This window comes from Homo sapiens, chromosome 20, assembly GCF_000001405.40.
Source record: "Homo sapiens chromosome 20, GRCh38.p14 Primary Assembly".
Classification (NCBI taxonomy): domain Eukaryota; kingdom Metazoa; phylum Chordata; class Mammalia; order Primates; family Hominidae; genus Homo; species Homo sapiens.
Window position 1 is genome coordinate 54,343,897 of NC_000020.11, and position 26,599 is coordinate 54,370,495.

The window sequence follows — 26,599 nt, forward strand, 5'->3', positions numbered from 1 at the left end:
TGTTTTTCAAAGAGGCTGCTTCAACCATGAACACTTATTTATCTTTGGAGTCACATGTCATGGCTAAGTTATGCCCTAAGTACCATATAACTTAGTAGTTAATACTGTAGTTAATACTTAGTAGCTAATACTCTAACCTTGAGGTTAGAAAGCCTTGAGGGTTAAGCTCTGCCTTTGCCCTTTACCACTGGTGAGGCTTTGTGCAATTAACTGAGTCTATTTAAGCCTCCCTCTCCTTATCTCTACTTTGGCTCCGTTGTAGAGATGGGGAGACAATGATCTTCACTCCACAACAGGTTAGTTCATGTCCTTTGTAGGGACATGGATGAAGCTGGAAACCGTCATTCTCAGCAAACTATCGCAAGGACAAAAAACCAAACACCACATGTTCTCACTCATAGGTGGGAATTAAACAATGAGAACACATGGACACAGGAAGGGGAACATCACACACCGGGGCCTGTTGTGGGGTCGGGGGAGGGGGGAGTGATAGCATTTGGAGATATACCTAATGCTAAATGACGAGTTACTGGGTGCAGCACACCAACATGGCACATGTATACATATGTAACAAACCTGCACATTGTGCACATGTACCCTAAAACTTAAAGTATAATAAAAAAAATTCAGTTCAATCCTGATAATTTCTTTATCAAAATAATTTCCATGTGAATCACAGCTTTATATGTAATAGAATAAAATATTTAACAAACCACAAAAAAAATTGATTAAGACAAGGTACATAAAACACCTTTGCATAGTACTTGGCATATAATAAACTTTCAGTAAATATTATGATTAAAGACTGTGCATCAATTGGTTCAATGGATAACTCTCAAGTAGAGTAGTACATGATAGGATGTTAATAGTACAAATTCTATATAAACATTTATATATGCAGATACTGGGTCCAAAATAAAAGTGTGGCACTACAATTACGTTGTCATTGTCCCCCACCAAGAATACATAGAAACATCAGGGCAGAGTTGATACCAAATCTCATAGAAAGCCTTAAAAATAATTATTTCAAAATGTTGCCCTTGATCAATGGTTCTCAACTGCAAGCAAGTTTGCCCCCTGGGGGGACATTCATTAATGTCTGAAGACATTTTTGGTTGTCACCACTGGGGTGGGGGCTGTGCCTGTGGCTTCCAGTGGGTAGAGGCCAGAGATGCTGCTAAACAACCTGCAATGCACAGGACAGCCTCCTGCAACAGGGAATGATCAATTGTGTCAGAATTGAGAAAAACCTTGCTCGGGATTTTTTAATTTTAAAAATATGTAACTTATTTCAGATTCTATCAGAGCCAATACATATGAAGATACATTATTTATGAATTATTTTCAGTGTTTAAAAGGGGATTAAGGCAAGTGGCTCTTTTTGGTTGAGAACTGGGTTCATTTCAGGGAGCCTGGAATATGATACTTTTCTTGGAATGCATTTGCCAGGCTGAAGGATCAGGGCAGAGAATTGCAGTCTGATGAAAATGCTGCAAGCAAATATCCTGCTTAGAAATGTTTTTGATGAGTCATTTCCAAAAACTCAAATACACTGACTAGTGACTAAGAGTCTAATTAACCCAGACGCCACTAAAAATAGGAAAGATCCATTGCACTTACGCGAGGTTTTCTGTTAAATCAACAACCCTGTGAGGTAGGCAGAAGCAATTTAAAGTCTAGAGAATACTAATACTAATAATGAGGGCTATTAATTATTAAGCATGGACACTGTGCAAAATAATGGCAGTAGAACAAGAGGAGGAGGAACTTAGGGTATGGAGTGCACGCCTAGCCCTGTCACCTACTAGCTGCATGAGTCTTGGAGGTTTATTTTGCTTTTCTGCATCTTAAGTCTTAATCTGTGAAAGAGGAATAGTTACAGTGTCAGTTTCACGGGATTGTTGTGAAAATTAAAAAAAAAAGCTTCCAAAGCACTCAGCACAGTGACCAATGCATATGCTTCTAATAAATGTAAGTTAATAATGAGAAGAATTCTCACAAAAACCGTACAAGGAAAGTATTCATAGTTAAAGATGAGACCATTTAGAGATGAACAAACTGTGTCAAAAAGTCCTTCAGTAAGTTGCCTAAGTTCCCTCAAGTGGTGAGTAGCCAAATCAGGTTGAACACAGAACTCACTTGGCAAGCCTTGTGCCTAGAAGAGTTTCTGGCATGTATCAGAACAACAACTATCTGTTGCAGAGGCAAAGGAAAAACCCTCATAGGTTCTGTGGCTGGGACCCTAGAAATTAAACATTAAAAGACACGTTAACAGGAAAAAGGATTTATTTCATATGCATATGAAGGGCCTCATAGAAATTAAAACCCAAAGAAGTAGGCAGACCTGGAGGTGTATATACCAGTTTAACAAAAGGGCCAAAAAAATTGTGGAGAAATGACAAGACAAAGAAAATAAATTTGAGTTTCTAGTGGTGATAAATTGTGGAAAGGTAAACATATGAGGAAAATAATGGAAGACTGGGTTATTTTAGGAAGGTTTGTTATGCAGACTCCCCTGGAGGCTGATAGTCTAGAGTTTCCTCTGGTGATTAAACACTTGCTGTGCCCTTTCTGGTAGGAGAAAGAGGAAGTGGCAACATTTTCACAAAGGGAAATCTATGCCCTGATTTTAGGCCAATGGGGGAGGGTAGAGTGCTTGTTTCTTGCATCTGTTGTTTCTCAATTGCTTTCTGCTTGAAATAGTCCTTACGCCAATGTGGCATATTTTGGGGTGACATATTCTAACCCCTTCACTACTGAATGAAGAAAAATCTCCTAATATTATATCTTCAGTAATCCACATTTTCAGCTGATTTTGCCCTGTTTATTGCACTTCCATTCTTGCTGGCTTCACATTTATTTTGTTTCTGGTCATGGAGTCAACTTTGGGTGCTCAAGTTTCCAGTGGGTGCATTAAAATACTCAAATAGCATAAATTGCACATATAACTTTGAAAAATTGCCCACAGAAAAATAGCAAAACGTGTTCATCTTTTCACCAAGAGCTAACTCTTGCAGAAGACAGGTAATCATTAGAAACCCTTCTACCCTAATCGCGTTGCCTGTATGTAATTATTGTAGTTTCCTCTGAGTATTCACTGAAAGGTGCCTTGAGAGAGAAAAAAATGTATAGGCTGCCTAGCAAAGTTAGGAAAAGCATGTAGAATGTATATATGGTGTGTGTGTGTGCATGTGCGTGCTTTGGTCACAGATATGAAGCAAGTTTCATCATGTAATTACAATGACAAATACAATGGCATTTGAATCAATTGACATCAGAATTGTAGGAATGGCTTGGAGTTGAGCTCCTCCTAATTATATTTAATTGCATAGTCTTGGATTTGACACTGAGTCTGGCTTGAAATGGATGCTTCGATGGGTTGAGTGTTTTTTCGCAGCTTGACAGGGTTGAGATGTAAACAGGAGCTGATAAACATGGCACTTACCACACCCATGAAGACTTTCTATTGGAATTTCTGTGAATGATTAATAGTCAAAAATTACAGCTCCACTGAGCTGTGACAGCATTGGATTCAGGATATGGAGACCTTTGTTTCCGTTATTGCTTACACATTTTAGAATCATTTGATTTTATTCTGGTTTATTTTTTGGCTCACTCCTCTGCTGATGAGTAAATTGAGGGAAATAAACACCAGAATGAGTCTGGCTGTTAAATGTGTCAATGTCTTAGCCATGGCAAGAATTCTACTGCATTCTCTGATGCAGTTGCCTGAGGCTGAGTACAGCTTGGGCCCCTTACCAACAACTGTTCTTCTATCGCCAGACTGGAGTGCAGTGGCGTGATCTCGGCTCACTGCAACCTCCGCCTCCTAGGTTCAAGCAATTCTCCTGCCTCAGCCTTCCAAGTAGCTGGGACTCCAGGTGCGTGCCACCACGCCCAGCAAGTTTTTTGTATTTTTAGTAGAAACAGGGTTTTACCATGTTGGCCAGGATGGTCTCGATCTCTTGACCTCGTGATCCGCCCGCCTTGGCCTCCCAAAGTGCTGGGATTATAGGCGTGAGCCACCACGCCCGGCCAACAACTGTTCTTTAAATGTTCTACTATCAAGAATGTTTTTCATATTTAATTTTTAAAATATTTCTGATATCTCTGATATTGGTCCTTAATATTCTATAAACATTTAACTATCTACCTTTTGAACTAATAATTCCTTTTATAATCTATTCTACACATTTTGCCCAAATATTGTAGGATAAATGTTAAGGATGTACATTTCACCATTATTTGTAACTCATTTATTCATCTACACATATTTTTTGAGTGCTTATATATTCAAGGCCTTGAGGAATTAGCTATAAGTGAACATTTAAATTTGTTTTTCTTTCTCTCATGAGGCTTATATTCTTGTTGAGAAAGATAGACAATAAACAGGATAAAGAATTAAAATAGGCCAGGTGTGGTGACTCATGCCTGTAATCCCAACACTTTGGGAGGCTGAGGCGGGAGGATTGCTTGAGCCCAGGAGTTCAAGACCAGCCCAGACAACATAGTGGGACCCTATCTCTACAAAAAAATTTAAAAATTAGCTGGGCATGACGGTGCATGCCTGTGGTCCCAGCAACTCAGGAGGCTTCAGTGGGAGGATTGCTTGAATCCAGAAGGTCAAGGCTGCCCTGAGCAGTGTTCATGCCATTGCCCTCCATCCTGGGTGACAGAGTGAGACCTTGTCTCAAAAGAAAGAAAGTTAAAATAGGTAATATTAAATTGTTAGAAGGCAATGAATATTTTCAGAGAGTATATAGCAAATTTAAATATAGTTGTCAGGAAAGGCCTTCTTGGAAATTGACCTTTGAGTAAAGACCAGAAGGAGGTAAGAGAGGGAGTTGTGGATATCTGAGAAGCGTGTGATCTAGGAAGAGTTAACAGTAAGGTCAAAGACCCTGAGGTAGGATAGTTCCTGGCAAGTTGAAGAAAAAGCAGGAAGGCCTGTGTGGCTGGAACACAGTAAACTAGGGAAAATCAAGGAATCAGGTGAGGTCAGAGAAGTGCCAAGTATCTGGGAGGGACCAGAGAGTACAGGGGTTGTTGGCCATTGAGATGACCTTGACTTTTATTTGGAATAAGATGGGAAAGAATAGGAAGGTTCTGAGCGGAGCAGTGATGTGACCTGACTTATGTTTTAGTCAGGTCATTCTGGTGGCTGAGTGGGGAATGGACAGTAGGGAAACAAAATCCTGAACTGGCTGACCAGTGAGGAGGCCATTAGGGACATCCAGCAGGAACATATGGCAGGTTGGGCAGGGATAGTGCAGTTGGAGGAGGAGAGTCGTGCTCAGATCTGGATATATCTGCAGGTTAGAGACAACAAGTTTATGTTTATGAACTACCTAAATGTCTATCAAGAGGATAATGGTTTTTTTTTTTTTTAAATGATGGCATTTCCATTTGTGATGGTTAATTTTATTTGTCAACCTGACTGGGCTAAGGGATGCCTAGATAGCTGGTAAAACATTATTTCTGGCATGTTCTTGAGGGTGTTTCTGGAAAAGATTAAGATTTGAATCCATAGACTGAGTAATGAGGACCGCCTTCTCCAATTTGGGCTGGCATCATCTAATCTGTTGAGGGCCTGCTTAGAACAAAATAACAAATTTACGCTGTCTGTTTGAGCTGAGACATCCATCTCCTGCCCTAAGACACCAGCGCTCCTGATTCTTGGGCCTGGGTCTTACACCATTAGTTCCCCTGGTTCTTGGGCCTTTCGTCTGAGATTGAATGACAGCACTGGCTTCCCTGACTCTCCAGCTTTCGGACAGCAGGTTGCTGGGACTTCCTGGCCTCCATAATTACATGACCAATTCCCATACCCCCATTCCATAAAATAATGAGATAGAGCTATAAAAATATTTCTAAGTTGTATAGTTGTATGAAAACATCAAGAAAAATAGCAATGGGATAGTAAAGTGTCTGCATTATTAAAACGCATGTGTATACAGTCAGCTCTCCACCTCCACAGGGTTAGTATCTGTGGATTCAACCAAATGGGGATAAAAAATATTCAAAAAATAAAAAAAGATACTAACAATAATATGACAATACAAAAATAATATAAATAAAAACCAATATGATATAATAATTATTTAGCTAGCATTTATGTCATATTTGGTATTATAAGTAATCTACAGATGATTTAAAATATACCAAAAGATATGTGTAGGTTATATGCAAATACTATACCATTTTGTACCAGGGACTTGACCATCTGGGGATTTTGGTATCTGAGGGTGTCCTGGAACCAATTCCCTGTGGATACCAAGGGATTGCCATATACACAAGTATTCTATTTTCATTTTTTAAAAAATCAGAGCACCCCAAAATTTAATGGCTTCTTCTGAGAAGGGTAATTGCAGATGGCATGCAAAAGGGAAGTTTGAAGTTATACATTATTTTGCTGTTTCTTTCCCAATAACGTATTAGTGGATTTTCATTGTTTTAAGAAGGGGAAAATATTCACTCTTCTAAAACTTATAAAGACACTTTTGTAACAACTTTAACAAATTCCATACTCCATAGATGAGTCATGTCTTTTTAGAAGGGTCATTATCAAAGTTTGGTTCAAAATATCGTTTGCTTTTGCCAGTTATAAATGTTTGAGAGAATGTGAACTTTCGTCTCTATATTCAATCTAGAATTTTCTTAGTATGATCCCTCTGTGGCCACTGAGCACAAAATGGTGGTGTTGCTAGGCAGTGAGAGCCTCCTGCTTCAGGGAAGTGGGTTCTAATAACTCTTCAACTAACTGGTAGTCAGAACTGAAGTGGATGATGAAACACTTTCAGGAACTTGGCACCACTCTCAAATTCAGAAATTGCTCTTTTAATATATGTTGGAGGTTGCGTGAAACAAAACTGAAGTTTTTCCAGTGTATTTCAGTTTTCCAGTCTTCCAAGGATTTGTGGAGTTCTCGGTGGCAGAATTACTAACAATGGATTCACAAATGTGACTAAAAATAGATGGCATGATTGAAGGCTTAATTTCATCTAATCTGATGCAATCTTATGTAAAGTTATGTCCACATCAAGAAGACAGCCATTTCAGGTAGATCATGGGTCAGGAGATCGAGACCATCCTGGCCAACATGGTGAAACCCCGTCTCGGCAAAAAAAAAAAAAAAAAAAAAAAAAAAAATACAAAAAATTATCCAGGCATGGTGGTGGGTGCCTGTAGTCCCAGCTACTCAGGAGGCTGAGGCAGGAGAATTGCGTGAACCTGTGAGGAGGGGCTTGCAGTGAGCTGAGATTGCGCCACTGCACTCCAGCCTGGGTGACAGAGCGAGACTGTCTCAAAAAAAAAAAAAAAAAAAAAAAAGACAGCCATCTGATAGTAGAGTTTCACAATTTCTGACAAATCTCTAATGTCCAGTTGCAAATCTGGACTTTATATCTGACTTTTTCTAAACGTAAATTTGATAAAAATAGCTAAAATCCTACTATATGTAATTTTTAAACAGCCAAAAATAATGCATAGAATGCAAGTTGTCATATTTTTCAGGAGTAGCCACAGTTTCTATATAATTATTTGCTGACTTTGATTCCACTGTGACACAATCATTTTTAAAAATATATGAAATCAGACATTCTAGAGTCTGTCATGAAATGCTACCAAAGTTTTCTTTTGCTTAAGGGCACTGGTGACAGGGCATCGTAACACAATGACACATGGATTTCTTTGAGTTTGGAAGTGTGCCACCATCAAAGATAGGGCCACCCATGGATTCACTACATCAGATCAGAGGAAATTGAATTATAAAGGACGATGTTCTCAAATTTCACCTTCCAATGACATGTGACAGCTCAAAACAGTCATAGTGTTCAGTAAAGTTCTTTTTTCATTTTTCTTTTTTTTTTTTGTCATAGATTTTATAGATTGGAACATCAAACAACATGGGTTAGTTTCAAGAAGACATAAGCTACACTGGTGTTCCCCAAAGTGTCTGGTAGCAGGAAATAGTCTAGATTGCTGGTTCTCAGCCCACCATCATTTTGACCACCCAGGGAAAATGTGACAATGCCTGGAGATGTTTTTGACTGTCACAACTGAGAGGTGGGATTGCTGCTGGTATTTAGTGGGTAGAGGCCAGGGTGCTGTTAAACACCCTCCAATGCACAGGACAGTAGCCCCACCTCCCTGACAAAGAGAGTTCTTTCCCCAAATGTCAGTGATGCTAAGCTTGGGAAACCTTAATCCAGAGTAAACTAAGGCAGCTTCTGAATCCTTTGACCCTTACTTTACCACAAAAACCTGAGATGCCAACAGTGATACCTACTCACACAGCTAACTACATTAAATAAAATGATTTATAGTCGGTTAATCAGCTTGAGGTACTGCAACAAAATACTGTAAAATACTGTAGATTGGATGGATTAAGCAATAGAAATTTATTTTCTCACAATCTTGGAGGCTGGAAGTCCAGGATCAGGGTGTTAGCATGGTGAATTTCTAGTGAGGACTCTTCCCGGATTGCTTCTTTCTGCGTGTCTCTCTCTCCTCTCTCTCTCTCTTTTTTTTTTTTTGTTTGAGATGGAGTCTCAGTCTGTCACCCAGACTGGAGTGCAGTGGTGCGATCTCAGCTCACTGCAACCTCTGCCTCCCAGGTTCAAGCAATTCTCCTGCCTCAGCCTCCCGAGTAGCTGGGACTACAGGCACGAGCCACCACGCCCAGTTAATTTTTTGTATTTTTAGTACAGATGGGGTTTCGCCATGTTGGCCAGGCTGGTCTTAAACTCCTGACCTCAGGTGATCCTCCCGCCTCAGCCTCCCAAAGTGCTGGGATAACAGGTGTGAGCCACCGTGCCCAGCCCTGGTGTTTCTTCTTGTATGAGCACTGACATCAACAGGGCCCCACCCTCATGGCCTCATTTAACCCTAAGTATCTTCCAAAGGTCCCGTCTCCAAATACTGTCATGTTGGGGGTTCAAGGCTGCAACATGGGAATTGGTGGGGGAGACACAAACATTTGATCAATTACATATGGGAAATTTACATGAGTCCTGATTATTGTTATTGTAGGTCTCATAATTGTTAATATTTGATAACCACACAGGAGCCTAATGAGAAGAACTCTTCACAGTAAATAAAAAAGTATTCCAAGCTCTGTTGTAGGTGACAGACTTCTACAATCTACAACTCATCAAGTTGTGTATGTCCACATGTGTATATGTTGGCCAATAGCAGAAAGCAATGTTTTGCTGTCTAATTTTTTTTTTTTTTTTTTTTTTTTGAGACAGGGTCTCTCTCTGTCACCCAGTCTGGAGTGCAGTGTGCAGTGGTGGGATCATAGCTTACTGCAGGCTCGACCTCCTGGGCTCAGGTGATCCTCAGCATCCTGGGTAGCTGAAACTACAGGCATACACCACCACACCTGGTTAGTTTTTGTTTTTGTTTTTGTCTGAGATAGGTCTTGCTGTGTTGCCCAGGTTGGTCTCACACTCCTGGGCTCAAGCCATCTGCCTGCCTCGGCCTCTCAAAGTCCTGGGATTACGGGTGTGAGCCATTGCAACCAGCTATTTTGGTCTCTTAATTGTGAAACAAATAAGAGAGCTTCTCTCTGTTATTGAAGTGAAGTAGTTACAACTCTGTCCTGACACAGTAATTTAAGAACTTTGTGGCTGGAGAGATTTTCTGAAATTTATATCAACTTGAAACTGACATTTTCCTTTTCCTCGTCTAGGTGCTAACCTATGGCCTTGCATGGGTCTTCTGAGATAGAAACGTTTTTGGTAATTGTTGACTCTTTGTAAAATTAGTAATCCAGTAAATAGGTCTTGGGTATCCATGTTAGTAAAGTCTCTATTTTCCATGAGGAGTGGGGAATACAACATTGAATTGCAGTACCTGCTCACAGGCAGGTTTACATATAAATATGTTTCATGACAAAATATTTTAAGTTCTATGGCAGGTACCAAGAATAATCTATGAGGGTTTGGAAGAGGGTGACTTTCCCAGTGGTAGGAGAGAATAATATATTTGCGAACCATGGTAAGGAGCATAAAAGAATCCCAATCCAAGAGCATCCTGATTTGGGAGTAAGGAGCCCTAAGAACACGTGGTCACCTGAATTTTAGAGTCTTTATGGACTGGTAACTATTATATACTTTTGATTCCTCCACTTGTTAGATGGAAATGTCTATTGCAGTTACCTTGTTCTTGCCTGTCAGAAGTGTGGCTATTTTCCAAGAATTAAGCAGTATTTATAGCTCTTGGAGGAGGAATGGCATCATGTAGGCTGCATTTTTTAGAGGTTCCTCCGATTTCTCTGGGGAAAATGCATCGTAGGCAGGTAAGAATGAAAATATTGAAAATTAGAAGGATATTTCCATAATCCAGGTGAGAAGTGATGATGGTTTAAAGTTAGAAGACAGCAGTAGAGATGGAGAGAAGCAAATGGATTTCAAATATATATTTACAGATGGTGAGGGTGGGTTGTTTGAGGTGGATGGTAAAAAGAAAGGAACCAAGAATGACCCTTAACTGCAAGGCTTGAGATGGTATGTGAATGGAAATTTCATTTAATAAGACGGTAGAGTCTGAGAAGGAAACCACTTTGTACACATGATGTGAGATGAAGGTAAAGGCTGGAAACAAACTGTGGATCACACATACTAAGTGTGTCTACTAAGATAATGGCTGGATATGAAATAAGCAATTGGCTATCTAATTGCATCTTGAGTTCAGTGGAGTGACTTGGCAGGAGGTAAATATTTAAGAGTCAGGTAGGTTATTTTTAGGCATATGGACTGGATGAGACCTTTCTAGCTAGAAAATTGAAGAGGGTAGACCAATTCTTGGAGCACTGCCATGTTGGAAGGTCAAGTAGAGGAAGAAAATAGAAGTAAAGGAAGGAGAATGTCTTGGGAAGGATGGAGCAGGCTCATCCCAGTGTGTCATCTGTTGCTATTGAAGGACAGAGAAGGTCCAGCAGTTTTAGCACCAAGGAAATCATCAATAAATGAGACAACACAATTTCTGTGGAGTCTTAGGAAGGGTGGGAGCCCAGATTGGCATCATTTGAAGAGGAAAACATGACATGAGGAAAATTTTAGAAATTAATACTCTTCTGGCCGGGCGCAGTGGCTCACACCTGTAATCCCAGCACTTTAGGAAGCCGAGGTGGGCGGATCATAAGGTCAGGAGATTGAGACCATCCTGGCCAACATGGTGAAACCCTTTCTGTACTAAAATACAAAAAATTAGCTGGGCATGGTGGTGCGCATGCCTGTATTCCCAGCTACTCTGGAAACTGAGGCAGGGGAATCGCTTGACCCTGGGAGGCAGAGGTTGCAGTGAGCCAAGATCGCGCCACTGCACTCCATCCTGGGCAATAGAGCGAGACTCCATCTCAAAAAAAAAAAAAAAAATTAATATTCTTCTTCGGCTATGCATCAGTTCCCTAGACTTTCTTATGTCAGTTTTAATCATTTACATAAGATTTAAGATAATCATTCTTATGTCAATTGGCAGTTATGGATTTGAGATGCTGTTAGTCAAACAATTAAATAAGAACAAACAATCAACTTTTAAAATTTTGTTCAGCTGATTGCATGTATACAACAAACACACTGGTAAATATCTTCCATTTGTTCATTTATCCTTTAGTTTTTTTCAACAACTCAATACAGAATATATACTAAAGACACATAATTTCTTTACCCTCATGGAACTCACATTCTACTGAGAAAGACAAAAAATTAAGTAAATAAACAAATAATGCTGTACATGGTACAAAATGTTCAGAGAAAACAAACGTGATTCAGACACAGAGAACAATGAGAAAACTGATATTAAATGGGCCGGTGGCAGGAGGGCTTTCTGAGTAGGGGATTTTTTAAGCTGAGGCTTGAATGATGCAAAGATCCACCATGTGGGGTACTGGGATGCAGCAGTGCAGAAAGTCTGGCAAGATGCCCCGAGAGGGAAAGAACTGGGCATGTTTGAACAAATGAGTATCTACTGGTATGTAGCGTACAAGGGGGTGTATAATTGGTTTGGCGAGGTTGACAGGGCCCAGATTATGCAGGGACTTCTAGACTCATTTTGAAAATCCTTCCAAAATTGTCTCGACGGCTATTTTTAAAATTTTCTATTTCTTTGAGTAACATAGGAATCAGAAGTATTTCTTGGTGCAGCATTTCTAGAGAGCACTTTGACAATTTGTATAAAAAAAGCTTAAGTACATGTACTGTAGAGCAATGACTTCATTTCTAGGAATTTATGCTAGGGAAATAATTTTCCACATGCACAAATGTGTATACATAGAATATTTGCTTATATTTCCAAACTCCTCAAATTCTATGCTTCAAATATTAATAGGTGGTTTGTACATGTCTCAATAGAGCTGATTTTGCTTTAAGAAAAAGATGCCTAATTAGGAAAAATAGCTCATGCATGCTGGGCTTAATACCTAGGTGATGGGTTGATGGGTGCAGCAAACCACCATGACACATGTTTACCTATGTAACAAACCTGCACATCCTGCACATGTACCCTGGAACTTAAAATATTAAAATAAATTAAAAATAAATATTAGAAAAGGATGCCTAATATAGAAAAATTTTAAAAATAGCCTAATGCATATCCATATGAGATTAGTTAATATATTCCAAACCACCCATATACTTTATACAACCATAACAATTACTATTTTATTTTTATTGACAGGAAAATATTCATGATATTTAGTATTAAGTAAAGATAAGTCAAAAAACCAGTAAATGTAATTTCATTTTTATTTAAATTATATTTAAATTAGAAAGATAAACATAGGCCTATAGATGGACATGTAAAAATAGAACATTATTCCTGAGTGGTGGGATTATGGATAGTATTTATTCATTTCTTTCTATTTTCCTTTGTTATCTGAATATTTTTATGAGCATAAATTACTTAGTTATTACAAATATGCTAAATTAAATTCATGTTTAAACAAAATAAACATTGGCAGCAACAGAAAGGCTGATGCATGAATCAAAGACTGGAACTTAAGGACATTGTTGGAGAGCAAGAATACAGCCCCCACCTCATTTCAGAAGAAATGAATGTTCAAATTAACATCAGCTGTGATGACCAACTGTTTTGGAAAGCAGGCCAGATGGTGTTCATCTTTGCTCTCTGGTGTGTTTTAAGAGGATATTATTGGACTTCTCAGAGACTACTCAGTAGCAACAATTACAAAACATCCCTGTAGCTAGGTCATTCCAATTATCTTCTAGCAAACATGCAAGATACTTTGAAGATTTTTCACTAGCCCACAATTTGTCTTTGCAATTTGTCCAGAAGAGTTCATATTTACATCCATTAATTTTACTTGAGTGGCATGCTTTCAATTTTGCAAAGACATCCTTTCACATTTGAGTAGCTGATCATGCAGGGGACAGAGCATAGTTAACCTGCCATTTGAACAGGTTAGCCTGGTGATCACATATGTCCACAGGCAATTTAGCTACATGGCCGATGACACAATTAAGACGGATTAGTAAAGAAAACTGGGTTGCAAGGCAAGTAGCATTTCTAAAGTTTCCTAAGAGACCGGTGCAAAGAGGAAAATCACATGTTCATGATGTTAACTGGCCAAATTTGATTAATCATTTTTAGCATTAAAGCAAAAAAGAAAAGTCCATGGTAAATACCTCAGCCCAACATCTATTACCTCCCCCCACCGTTTTTTTGTAAGTTTAAAAACAAACCCAATCCAATGAAAATTAGGAGTCCTTTGCCCAATGCTTCATCTTCCATACACAAATCATTCTTATTATGGATTTTTCGTGCTACAGATTTTCTAAACATTGGAGTCTTAGAGATGCTAAGTGACTAAAATTAGACATGGTTTTTGACTGATAATTTAACAAGTATGCTTTAAGAATGTATTAAAGTGGTCTTCAAATTATTTGAGTTTAATGCCTGCTTTCCGAATCCTGGAATTTGGGGTAGCATATACAAAAGGATTAAAAGTAAAATTCCAGTGCGTCTGTATAGGAAGTTTCAGGAAATGTTTAAAAGAGTGCAGATATTACGATACAGTGGATTTACATCTTAGAGTCCTGAAGTGTGTGCCTAAGGTAAAAATCATGTGTCCCACGGTCCAGGTGCTCTCTTTTCTAGCATCCCACTAATCTACTTGAGGAGCAGGGCCCAGGGCTGTCTCTCAGGGGCTCCCTGAAGTCACCTTTCTTCTTGATTCCCTTCTGATTGTCTCTCTTCCACTGCTTAAAGAAGTGTTTTGTACTGATGGGAGGGGAAGCTGCGCTTTTATTCGTCATCTGCTTCCCCAAGTTGTGGTTCATACTCAGAGCGAGAAGAGAGTCTTTTCTCTTCCCTCAAGAACTAGGTTTTTGAAATTCAAAAGCCAGGAAAAGAAGCCCATTTTCTCTGCCTTCTGCTATGACAGCTCCTCAGTGGAGTACACACAGCATCCTAACAAAGACTCAGGAGAGCCAGGGAGGTGCGGGAGCAAAGTAGTGCAGTTTTATTTACACTTACGTTTATATAAAACAGGAAGGTAACTGGCCTTTGCCGATAATTATTACACAAGTCAACATGGTGTTTTCCCCCAGTTCTGAGCCTAGGAGATCATTCATCTGGCACCCTGTGCAAGGTGAAGTAAAGAAGAGATGAAATTGCTTGGTGCAGAGTGGTCCCTAGCCACATCTGGGCTCTTTGATTCACTGCTGCCCAACGCAACGCATTGCAGATTACATTTGCACTGTGAAGTGGATGTGTGGACAATGCAACCTCATTTTAATTAGACATACCCTCATAAAATTACAGAAGACTTAATAAGATTCCTGAAAAGAAAATGCAGATTGAAAATAGCAATGATAACGTAAGCCCAGGCACACAGCAAACCAGCACCAGCACAGTGCAGCTCCTAGTCCTACTGTCAACTATTCCTCACCCATGTTTCAAGGTTAAAAGAAATCGGGCAGAACATTCGGCCTGAAATTCAGATTTGGGGGCATGTGGGGAAGCTTAGAATGTCCATGCAAGGTAAAGGCGATATTTTAACAGTGAAAAGCAACATGCTCTTCAAAAGAAACATGTTTTGTTGAGAGGAGCCTTTAAAAATGGATGTGTGGGTGAGTAGATGGAGGGAACCGATCTATATCCTTAAAAATAAAAAATAGAAACAGAATTTCTTTTTTTTTTAACTTTTGTTTTAAGTTCAGGGGTACATGGCAGGTTTGTTACATCGGTAAACACGTCATGAGGGTTTGTTGTACAGATTATTTAATCACCTATTAATCATCACTTTTTTTTTTTTTTTTTTGAGACGGAATCTGGCTCTGTCTCCCAGGCTGGAGTGCAGTGGCGCGATCTCGGCTCACCGCAAGCTCCGCCTCACGGGTTCACGCCATTCTCCTGCCTCAGCCTCCCTAGTAGCTGGGACTACAGGTGCCCGCCACCACACCCGGCTAATTTTTTTTGTATTTTTAGTAGAGACGGGGTTTCACCGTGTTAGCCAGGATGGTCTCGATCTCCTGACCTTGTGATCTGCCCGCCTCGGCCTCCCAAAGTGCTGGGATTACAGGTGTGAGCCACCGTGTCTGGCCTCATCACCATTAAGCCTACTACCCATTATTTATTTTTCCTGATCCTTTCCCTACTTCCACCCTCCAAAAGGCCCCAGTGTTTATTGTTCCCCTGTATGTGTCCATGTGTTCTCATACACTCTTGGTAGGAGTGCAAATTCGTTCAGCCATTGTGGAAGACAGTGTGGTGATTCCCCAAAGACTTAAAGACAGAAATACCATTCAACCCAGCAATCCCATTACTGGATATATACCCAAGGGAAACAGAATTTCTATCTCACGAAAAAAATCTTTCTGAAGAAGAGTTTTAGTAGGTTTATGTACCCTTTTGTTTAAAAACCAAAAGGCATTTGTCATTTAATTTACAAAACAATGAACTGACATTGAGGAAGATGCAAATTTACCAGTTTTGAACGATGCTGCACAATTGGCAGTTGGGTCTGAAAATAAATATCAACATTTAGGATACATGTCCACTGATGTCCCTCTTCTATTTGGGTCCATGTTATCTTTTTAAGATGTCTTTGTAACTCTTGACTGCCATAAAAAGCCAACGTTTAACTTAGACCTTTAAAATCACGGTTCAGCTTGCATTTTAAAAAACATTAAGGCATATTCAATCATGTTGTTCCCCATAAAATACTAACAATATGTTAGTTGGAAAAGAATGTTTTATCATGAATATATAAAATAAAATTATAACTAAGATATTTGTTACTTCACTCTTTATCAAATCATTTTAAAAGTCCTATTTTAAATTTAGTCAAACATGTGCATAGTACAATATAACAGTGTTATATATATAAAATAAATGATTATACATGTATTGAAACGTGCACAAAATGTTTTAACTGAGAGGAGTGCATTTTTTTTTGGGGCGGGGTGCTGTGGTTATGGGCCTGGTGACCAGTGACAGTAATTAAATTTGTAAATTAAGTTTGTAAATCAAATTGCATAGTAACATCCCCCCTCGTGGTATTCATTATCTTTTAGAAATTATCTCATCTTCCTAATTTGCTTGTAAATAACTCATCATCAGGGATTATTATTTTTTTATCGTAGTAGGTAATCAAGAAATCATTTATTCATCATATAACAAGAAATGATAGATGCATAGGCCTTAATGCAGTGACCTCTTTTTAGGATAACTCTATGAGACAGTATAAAATATTAATGAAAATTTAATGAAGTTCTAAGCAAAAAGTAGGTAATAGCAATAATAGAATCCACTTGCTTACCAATAAATTAAGTTTTTATTTTCACTTTTGAATTTTTTATTTAAAAACGAAGTTCTGAAATGCTTCCATGTGTTTCTTCCAATCAAAGTAAATGATCTTTTAAAAACTTACACTATTTTTACAAATTTCTTTCAAGTTATCTCTAACCAAATAACATTCAAAGGGTTTTATTTTTAATGAGTGGAACCGTGAATTGGAAAACAAATATGCAAGAACCTATTAACTGGCCAGTAAATTAGAATAAAAAGAGAGAAATTTTCTACTACTAAAAGAAAGCTTTAATTTACATGCAAATGTGTAGAAGGAAAAAACGTGCTGGAATTTACTTTTAATGGATAGCAGAGCTAGAAAAGAGACAAGAGGTACAAACTGATGGTGTCTCAAATCTACTGCCAGATAGACCTGCAAAGAAATGGGCCAATGTCCTTAGGATGAACTATTTTAATGACAGTCTTGCCACATGAGAAAAATTATTGATTCATCCAATTAACATTAGTATGTAAATTATTCATTAGAGCAACTATCAGAATAAAATTAGGATTTCTAGGCTCATAAGTTGTCCATGCTTCTGCCTTCTATAGTGTGAGAGATGCTGTATTTTGGAAGAATAGCAACTACTTTAGTGAAAGATGATTACAAATGGCATAGGAAAATAAGGCATTAAGTGTTATTATAAATTTGCTCTTAGTAAATAAGCATGTTTAATTATTTTTGCATTAGTAGGGGGCTAGGCCTATTGACTATCTACTTGCAATTTTAAGTTTTCTTAGTGTGATGGTAATAAGCTGGTAGTTTTGATAGTTATTAATTAAAATCTTTTTTAAAAATTTCATACATGGAACTCTGTACTCCCCCTCTTTCCCTTGAAAGCTCAAGATCTGGCATTATGGCAACCAAATGATGTCATATGAATGAAATCAAAATATTTTTCATCTCTGTTCTTCCTTAGTTTGGCATCACCCTTCCTCTTTATCCATTCACCACAGATTTGCTGCCAGTTTCATAAGGAGTACTTTGGCAGGCAGTATTTATGAAACCCTGCAAGAGCTACGGGATAGCTAACCAGGAATAACTTCCACCGCAGAGGTCTTGCTCCAAAGCAAGTTCAGCTCTCATAGTATGGAAAGTGGTAGCATCAAACTGTTTTCCAAACTGATTGTCTCAAGCTAGTAAACCAACTTGCTTTGGGGGAAAAGAAAAAACAAAAACAAAAACAGTTGTTTGGGCAAAGGAAGCTTAACAATTTTATACGGACACACACACACACACACACACACACACACACACCCCTTACATGTATACATATATATATAGAAGTATATATAAGTATACATATGTATATGTATATATGCATGCACTATACATACAACATATACACACATTGCATATATGTATATGTATGTATACATGTATAAGTATATATACATATATACACACATACACTTTACATGTATACATAATGTATACAAAATTTATATATATAACGTATACTTACATGTGCATGTACTATACATGCAATATATATACATGTGTATTGCATATATACATATATATTGCATCGATGCACACACACACACACACACACACATATATATGCATTTTGTATGCATTCAGTTTTTTGTCCAGCAGCCAACCCATGTTATTCTACTTAAAACTGTGAGAATCAAGGCATTTCATCTATGTGAGAATCAAATCCAAAGACACTGCCATGGCCTATAAGGCCAGAAAAGAGGTTTTTCTCCTTATCTGTCAAATCCAGTGTTCCACTCCAGGTTTTACTTGCCCTACTTCAGCCACAGTGGCCTTTTTGCTTTTCCTTGAACTTAACTATGTGTGTTTCTGTCTTGGGATTTGCACTATCTGGTTCCTCTGCCTGGAATGCTTCCCTCCTGATCTTCCCATGACTGGAGGGCTTGTTAGAGCAGAGTCTGCTGGGCTCCCCCACCAGAGTTCCAGACTCAGCAGATCTGGGGTGAGGCCTGACAATCAGCATTTCTAACAAATTCCTGAGTGATGCCAATGTGGCTGATATGGAGATCATTCTTTGAGAACCAGTGCTCTTGCATGTTATCCTATTTTAATTCTCTGCAGGACACTTATCACTATGTGATATTTTTTCTTCTTCATTTAAGAATTTACTATCTGTCATTTCCACTAGAATATAGATTCAATGACAGCAAGAAACCAGTTTCTTTTGTTCATTACTATATTCCCTATGCCTAGAATGATGCCTAGCACACAACAGGCACTCAATAAGTATTTCTTGACTCATTTCATTTGCAAAACATTTGCATACGCATTCTATTCCAGGTGCTGGGTGAGAAGCCAGGTGGACTAAGATTAATAAGGACGATCCTTCTCTGTGGGGTTCATAACCTGTTAAGGAAGACCATACTCTACTCCACATACACATACTCTCTAATGCAATGTGATAATCAGTATAACAAATCCACCGTCACCTCACGGTGCAATATATTCTGATTAAAGGATGGTTTTCCAGCATTTGGATGGAAATGAATGAGTTTATGGAAGTATGTCCTGGACTGGTAGTTTCATAACCTTTTAAAATTGCATGTGCCTTTGGACGGAAACATGGTGTTGATAACTGGGAAATGCTAAGGAGTCACTTGAATGGCAGTCTCTCAACAGAGCTCATTAGGAATTTGCTGTTTTACAGAAAGTCAGGCTAATGGCGGGTAGGAGGGGCTGGGATAAATTTTAAGAAAAGATAAACAGGGGCTTCTGGGGCACTGACTGTGTGGTTGCATAGGGGTTCACTTTATAACAAATGAACTATATGTAAGTACATGTTTGATGCACTTTTCTCAATGTATATTTTATAATAAAAGAGTGTAAAATATCCTGCCTTTGTGAGTTTTAAATTGTATAATTATGATATTAAATTAAACATATACTTTTGCAAGCAGAAGAATTTGCTATTTTATAATGACTTTATGAAAACATAGGTGAATTTTTTTTCTCACTTACATTTATGAACCCCAGGAGAAATAGGCTCCTGAACGCTTTCTTGTTAGCAACAGAACTTTCCAAATTATTATTATTTTTTTAAGAAGGAATTTGGAATTGTAATATGTGACCAAGGAAAAGGGAGATTTTTAGACACAATAACATTAAAATATCTTGTTAATTGTCATCAATTTCAAGGGAGAAATATAACTATTGAGTCAAATCTATCTTACACTATTTTTAAAAAAGTTGTAAACCAAAAATAAAATTCTAAGTCTCCCCAGTCATCTAAATGGGCCCCTCCTCTCAGCCAGGGCACTCCAAAGTTAACCTGAAAAACTGGCTCAGGCCATGATAGGAAGGAAGGGTCAGGCAGGCCTTACGATACCCTCCTCCCTTTTGAAATTCAGAAAAAGCAGACCAGCATTTAATATTGACATAGACCTTAAGTCTGATAAGAAACATTATGGTCTATTCTCTCTGAAGCCTGTTACCTGGAGGTTTCATCTGCATGATAAAACTTTGGTCTCCACAACCCCTTATCGTAACCCAGATATTCCTTTTTATTGATAATTGCTCTTTCAACCAATTGCCAATCGGAAGATTTTTAAATCTACTGAAAACCTGGAGGCCCTCCCTGCTTCAAATTGCCCCACCTTTCTGGACCAATCCAATGTATAGCTTACATGTATTTGATTGATGTCTCATGTCTCCCTAAAATGTATAAAACTAGGCTGAGCCCTGACCACCTTGAGGACATGTTCTCAGGGTCTCCTGAGGGCTGTATCACAAGCCATGGTCACTCATATTTGGCTCAGAATAAATCTCTTCAAATATTTTGCAGAGTTGAACTCTTTTCATTTACAAAGTTCAACTTGTGATTGAAACAGCTATCTGGCTCAATTGAATAGCACAGATTTCCTCATGTTAGAGATTACCAACCAACCTTCTTTCAGCCTTTGAGCAAGCATTTTACTTGCTTCTCAGGAAAGGATGACAGATCATTTTGTAAACAAGCCAGAAGGAGTCTGATTCTCTAGCCCCCAGATTAAGACTCCATTTATTATTAATTTTCATAAGAATAAACAAGTTGTAATGTTTTGAGTACATCACAGGTAAATAAAACCAAACCATATTACAAAATAAATCAGTGGAAAGATGACTTTGTATTTCACAGCAATTAGCTGGATGATTGGTTTTTGTTTTGCCTTGAGTTTTACACTGGAAAATCAAATTTGAAAATTATGTTGAGAATAATGTGAAGCATTTGCTACTTTTATTACCAATTGCTTTTTGAAAGCTGTACTTATACATAAAATTATTTGAGTTTCAATGTTACGAACAAAATTCTTGACATGGAAAGTTTCATCCAAAATTCTAAGCTGAGGAAGAGATTCATTAGTTGATGATTACCTTATGATTTGGGTCTGTCGTAATGAGAAAGCGTCATCAAAAAAATATTTGTTGAGCAATTGTTTTTCAAGACCTTTGGTGTTTACAAAGCGTAAAAGATGCATATGCTTATGAAAGATGGTTCATTGGAGATCAATTGAGGTACTCATATATTCAAAGCCTCTGTGTTTTGAAAATTCTAATTGCCAGCACCAAATTAAAGTCATTGACGTTTTTAAAAATGTTCCTACGTTTTATTATTGCAGTGTTCTGCACATTAAGTTATAAATATTTATATACCTAAGTGGAATTATGTCTCACGGTGGCTCCATAAGGCAGCTATATAGAAGAGAAGAATGTTTTCAGGGGAAGAGAAATAACAACAACAAAAACTCCACTAGCATGAAGTTCTTCTGAATAAGTCCTTTAAATTCTGGTTTTTGCTTTGTAACATTTTCTTTTCACAATTCCATGAAACCCCCAGAAGAGTAAAATGGACAAAGTAATTTTAAGGAAGCAGTGAAATCAAAGTTTCCAACCACCACGGTTTTGCTCAGTAATAAATTGTGTAGAGTGTTATGAAGATCTAATTCGAAAACCAACTTTTCAGAAACATGAAAAGAACAGTTACGCTTTCTGTGTAATTTCTGGGGCTAGACTTTCCACTCCTGCAATGATTGTTTCTTCTGAATGCAGGATGTTAATGACCTGACTTGACTCATTCCTTTAATTAAGTACCTCTGAAAATTGCCATATTTCCACTTCAGTTTGGGCTTTATTGATCTATTTGGGGGAAATCTAGGTGATATATTTCTAGACGTGAGGGAAGGCATGGAATTCATCCATCAGAAGGCTGCTGGTCCAATTCATCCAAAGACGAGTTCATTGAGAGGTTTTCACCCCCTCTGAGACTTGTAATAATAATAACAATAACGATGGCTGCTACTGTTGATACTGGATATGCAGTTATTGATACAGGACATGTAGTCCCTGGCACATATGTTATTTCATTCAATCTCTGCCATATCCTATGAGATTGGTTAATCACATAGTGCTGCTACTCCCCTTTTAGGCATGTGTAAATTCATGCTCAGAGTTTTTTTGAGCAAAAAATACTTGTTCAAGTTTCCATATATGACAAATGCTGATACTTGCATTTAAACCGCCTTTTTAACTTCGAACTTGGGCTCTACATACTACATAACCTGTGCCTTGTATTGCATGATAAAACAGGGATTTCAATGTATTCAGGAGATCTTGGTTTGGTGATTTTGAGTGATCTTTGAACAATTTATGCAATATGTCTCCAACTTTTAGAAAATTTAGGGACCATTTATAGAAAAGATGTAGATCCCCTTGTGTTAGTTTAAATTGCTTTTATTATGTTATTTAATAAACATGACAGTTATCTTATTTTTATTTCTCATATACAACTATAAAAGCACAAGAAATTTACAAGTTAATGTCAAATAAAACCATAAAACCAATAAAGCTAAAGTTGAAAACATTAACATGATATAATACATGATGTTATTTTGCTGAATTCCAAATTCTGCTCACAAGTGAATGGAATAACAGCTAGAAGCAAAGCTTTTTCTGAGTTTAGCGTGGCTGTAGTAGCTCATGCCAGGTCATGACTCTATTTTCCCACCACTTTGTTTTTTCTATCTGAACTGCTCATTTCCTTAGCGTACTATGATATTTTATAGCACCTATTAGTGTGACTGGATCATTTACACATTATGCCCACTTCTTTCCCTAAAATATTAAGGTAACATTACTTGATCTCAACTCAGTCAGTACCATACTATGGTACTGAAAATGAGTAATAGTGCTTACATGCATAATAACTGTTACAGACATTACTACCACTACATCTTCAGTTCTTGGCCCCATTCTGAAACATACAGGAAGATCACAGGTTTCCCACCTGCATGAAGCTAGCTGTATCGTTGGACACATTTTGGCAAATGAAATGTGAATGGAAGAAACAAGAAACAGTGTGCAGTACCCAATGTGCATAATGGGAAAATGTCTAGATACTTCCATACAAAGGAAGCAGCCTCTATCACTGACCCAACCCTTCACCCTCCAGTGAGCAATAAACCTTGGCTTTGTTAACCACTGAGATTTGCAAGTTATTTGTTGTAGCAGAATAACTTAATCTAATCTGACTAATGCAGAAATCATCCACACAATCCAACATATCCTTATGTTAATTTGGAAGTGGTATTATTATTTAAAAACACGAAATTAAAAGGTCACGTGCGCACAGTTGCAGCATCCCAACACATTCTTGAGGCTTCCAAATAGTCCACAATCTGCAATTCATGAACCATTAATCTATATATAGTATTGATCCTTCTCTTGTAAATGACATTTTCTCATATCATGTGGATGTAGTTGCCTTTTTATTTAAAATTCTCTGAGCAGTTATGCTCAGTCCCAGAAAATTGCTGGCTGATCCTAAATTGATGGCGTCAATGAAAATCCAATTTCCTGGCTCCCTGCATCAGCCTACTGCATCTAGAAAATCCTTCTGTCTCTAGAACTTCAGGAAAACGTAAAGAAATAGATAACTAACAGGCACTGAAGGCCAGTTGTATTCCATGCTTGAGTTAAATGTTTGTGGCCAGCCCATTAGTTTGGCAGATCCAGAATGTATTTGAAACCCTCTCCTCCCACCCTTTAGAGGCTGGAAAAGCTAAGAACGCATATTCACAGCTTCTTCTAAAGCGAGCAGTGACCCTGTGATGCATTCTGGACCATAATATCTAATTCAAAGTTATTGGGGTAGGTTCCAAAGCAGCTTTTACTCTTTTACTAACAAAAGAGATAGATTAATCTGGCTGTTATTCACTTCATCTTGCTGTGAACAAGCAGCTATATTTCGACTCTGAGGGAAAAGTCAAGAGACTTTCCCAATGTGGAGCCACTAAAACAATACCAGCAATTATCTACTTCTAGATTTTTTGTTACCTGAGAACAATAAAATTCTATTTAGGTTTTCTGTTCCTCATAGCTAAGTACAATCCCAACGGACGTTTTCAAGAATTTCTTCACCAAAACCTCACATGATGCACAGATGGCAGTAGTAAGATTAAAGTCATTTTAGAGGGCAGGAAATGCAAACCAGATAGGTAAGTTGATTTTCCTGCATACTGCACTTGTCACATTCTGTAGTTTATAGTTTAAACTCCATGAAGATAGGGTCTTGTTCGTTATAGTCTCCAGTTTATCATCATATTTGGTGATATAGCTAGAATGTGGTCAGAAAACATTTGTTGAATGAATTAATAAAGATTATACTGTAGCCATCAGCGTTAAGGAAGAATCGCAGTTCAGTACGATTCTACACTCTTAACTCCACCTTGCCAATATGGATACCTGGCCCCCTATTTGAGGCCACTTCTAAATCCCTTTTGCAGAAAGGGAAGTTGTTGCATAGACATAGACCATGGGATTACCACTTTGGGGGAAAAAACTACCTTAAGAAAATCAGCTCTACAAATGCTCTCTCAAAATTGCAAAAGCCGTTACCAAACACTAAGATGTTCTAATTAGCAAATTCCTCCTCGCATCATGCAAACACCCAAAGGTAAAAGAAGAGCCAGAAATGTTTGGAAAATTTTCCTAGGGGAAGTGGTTGGAGAGGAAGAGGAATCTCAGTCCTCTAATTAAAAGAACGAACTTGAGCTAAAAAGCCATGTGGGACTGTTGTCGTGGTAACATGATCCAAGCAAGAAAGTTTCCTAGAGTTGCTATTCAGAAAAAAACCTCTTGGTCTAGGAAGCGTTGCTTGTGATGCAAGATGCCAGGTTTTCAGGCCTAGACTTGGAAGATTTTGAAGCATTTATACCATGTCATTCACACTAATTCCAAGACACGGGGCAGATTGCTTATAATGTTATGCAAATAGCCAGTAGAGGGGAGAAAAACCCCACAAGATCATTTTCAAGCACCATTTGTTAACGTTATTAATATCCTTAAAAAGAAAATAATTGGAAATATACATTCTAATAGGCTTATCTTCTCTAATTTCTTTTGAGTAGTTAAGATAACATTAGATTTAAGAAAATATGTCAAAAATAATTTCATTAGAATTCATTCAAGATTTTCGGTAATATATATCGAATATCAATATAAACTATCAGTTAGCTATTGCTGTCTAATGACTCCCCACTTCCAAACTCAAATAGATAAGCATATATTACTATGAATCTATGGGCAGCTGCATGGTTCTACTGATCTCTGTGGGATTGGATGGATCTCGGTTAAGCTTACTTCTTCTTCAACCGCAGATCAAGTGGATGGTTCTGCTTGATCAGGTGGGCTCTTTCGGATGATTAGGGGTTTGTTGGTTGCAGGTTGGTCCAAAACGGCCTTGGCCAGAACAACTGGGCTCTCTTCCATGTGATTTGTTATCCATGACAACCGTCCCACATGGCTCTTTCGCTCAACAGTCTATTCCAGGCTTGCATACATAATCGAGGCAGGGCTCCTAGAAAGAGCAGGAGTGAATAGGGCCTCTTGAGTTCTTGTCTCAGAACTCACATACCATAACTTCTGCTGCATTCTATTGGCCGAAATAAGTCATAAGTTTATATTCCATTGCTTATATATGCCACATTTTCATTATTCATTTATCCATTGTTGGACACTTAGATTTATTCTATATTTTGTCTGTTATGAATAGTGCTGCAATAAACATGGAGGTGTAGGTATCTCTTTGATAGGCTGATATACTTTTCTTACCTATAAGACCTAGTAGTGGGATTGTTGGATTGCATATTAGTTTTATTTTTAGTTCTTTGAGAAATTTCTGTACTGTTTTCCATAATGGCCGTAGTAATTTACATTCCCACCAATAGTGTATAAGAATTCCCCTTTCTCCACATCCTCATCAGCATTTGTTATTTTTTGTCTTTTAAATAATATCCATTGTACCTGGGGTGAGATGATATTTCATTGTGGTTTTGATTTGCATTCCCCTGATGACTAGTGGTGTTGAGCTTTTTCTTCTTTTCATGTATTTATTGGCCATTTTATGTCTTCTTTTGAGAAATGTCTATTCAGAATTCTAGCCCACTTTTTTTTTTTTTTCTTTTTGAGACAGAGTTTCACTCTTGTTGCCCAGGCTGGAGGCTGGAGTACAATGGCACTATCTCGGCTCACTGCAACCTCCACCTCCTGGGTTCAAGCGATTCTCCTGCCTCAGTCTCCCTAGTAGCTGGGATTACAGGCATGCACCACCATGCCCAGCTAATTTTGTATTTTTAGTAGAGATGGGGTTTCTCCTTGTTGGTCAGGCTGGTCTTGAACTCCCAGCCTCAGGTGATCCACCTGCCTTTGCCTCCGAAAGTGCTGGGATTACAGGCGTGAGCCACCGTGCCTGGCCCTAGCCCACTTTTTAATGGGGTTATTCATTATCTTGCTGTTGAGTTGTTTGAGCCCCTT

At 38.2% G+C, this 26,599-nt stretch overlaps 1 annotated feature.

Moving 5' to 3' along the window:
* Positions 15,727-16,228: an enhancer, noted in NCBI's record as "NANOG hESC enhancer chr20:52976162-52976663 (GRCh37/hg19 assembly coordinates)". NCBI's record gives its function as "activates a minimal SCP1, AML or CMV promoter by ChIP-STARR-seq in naive H9 embryonic stem cells {active_cell/tissue: H9 hESC(naive)}" and the evidence as "EXISTENCE:reporter gene assay evidence [ECO:0000049][PMID:30033119]".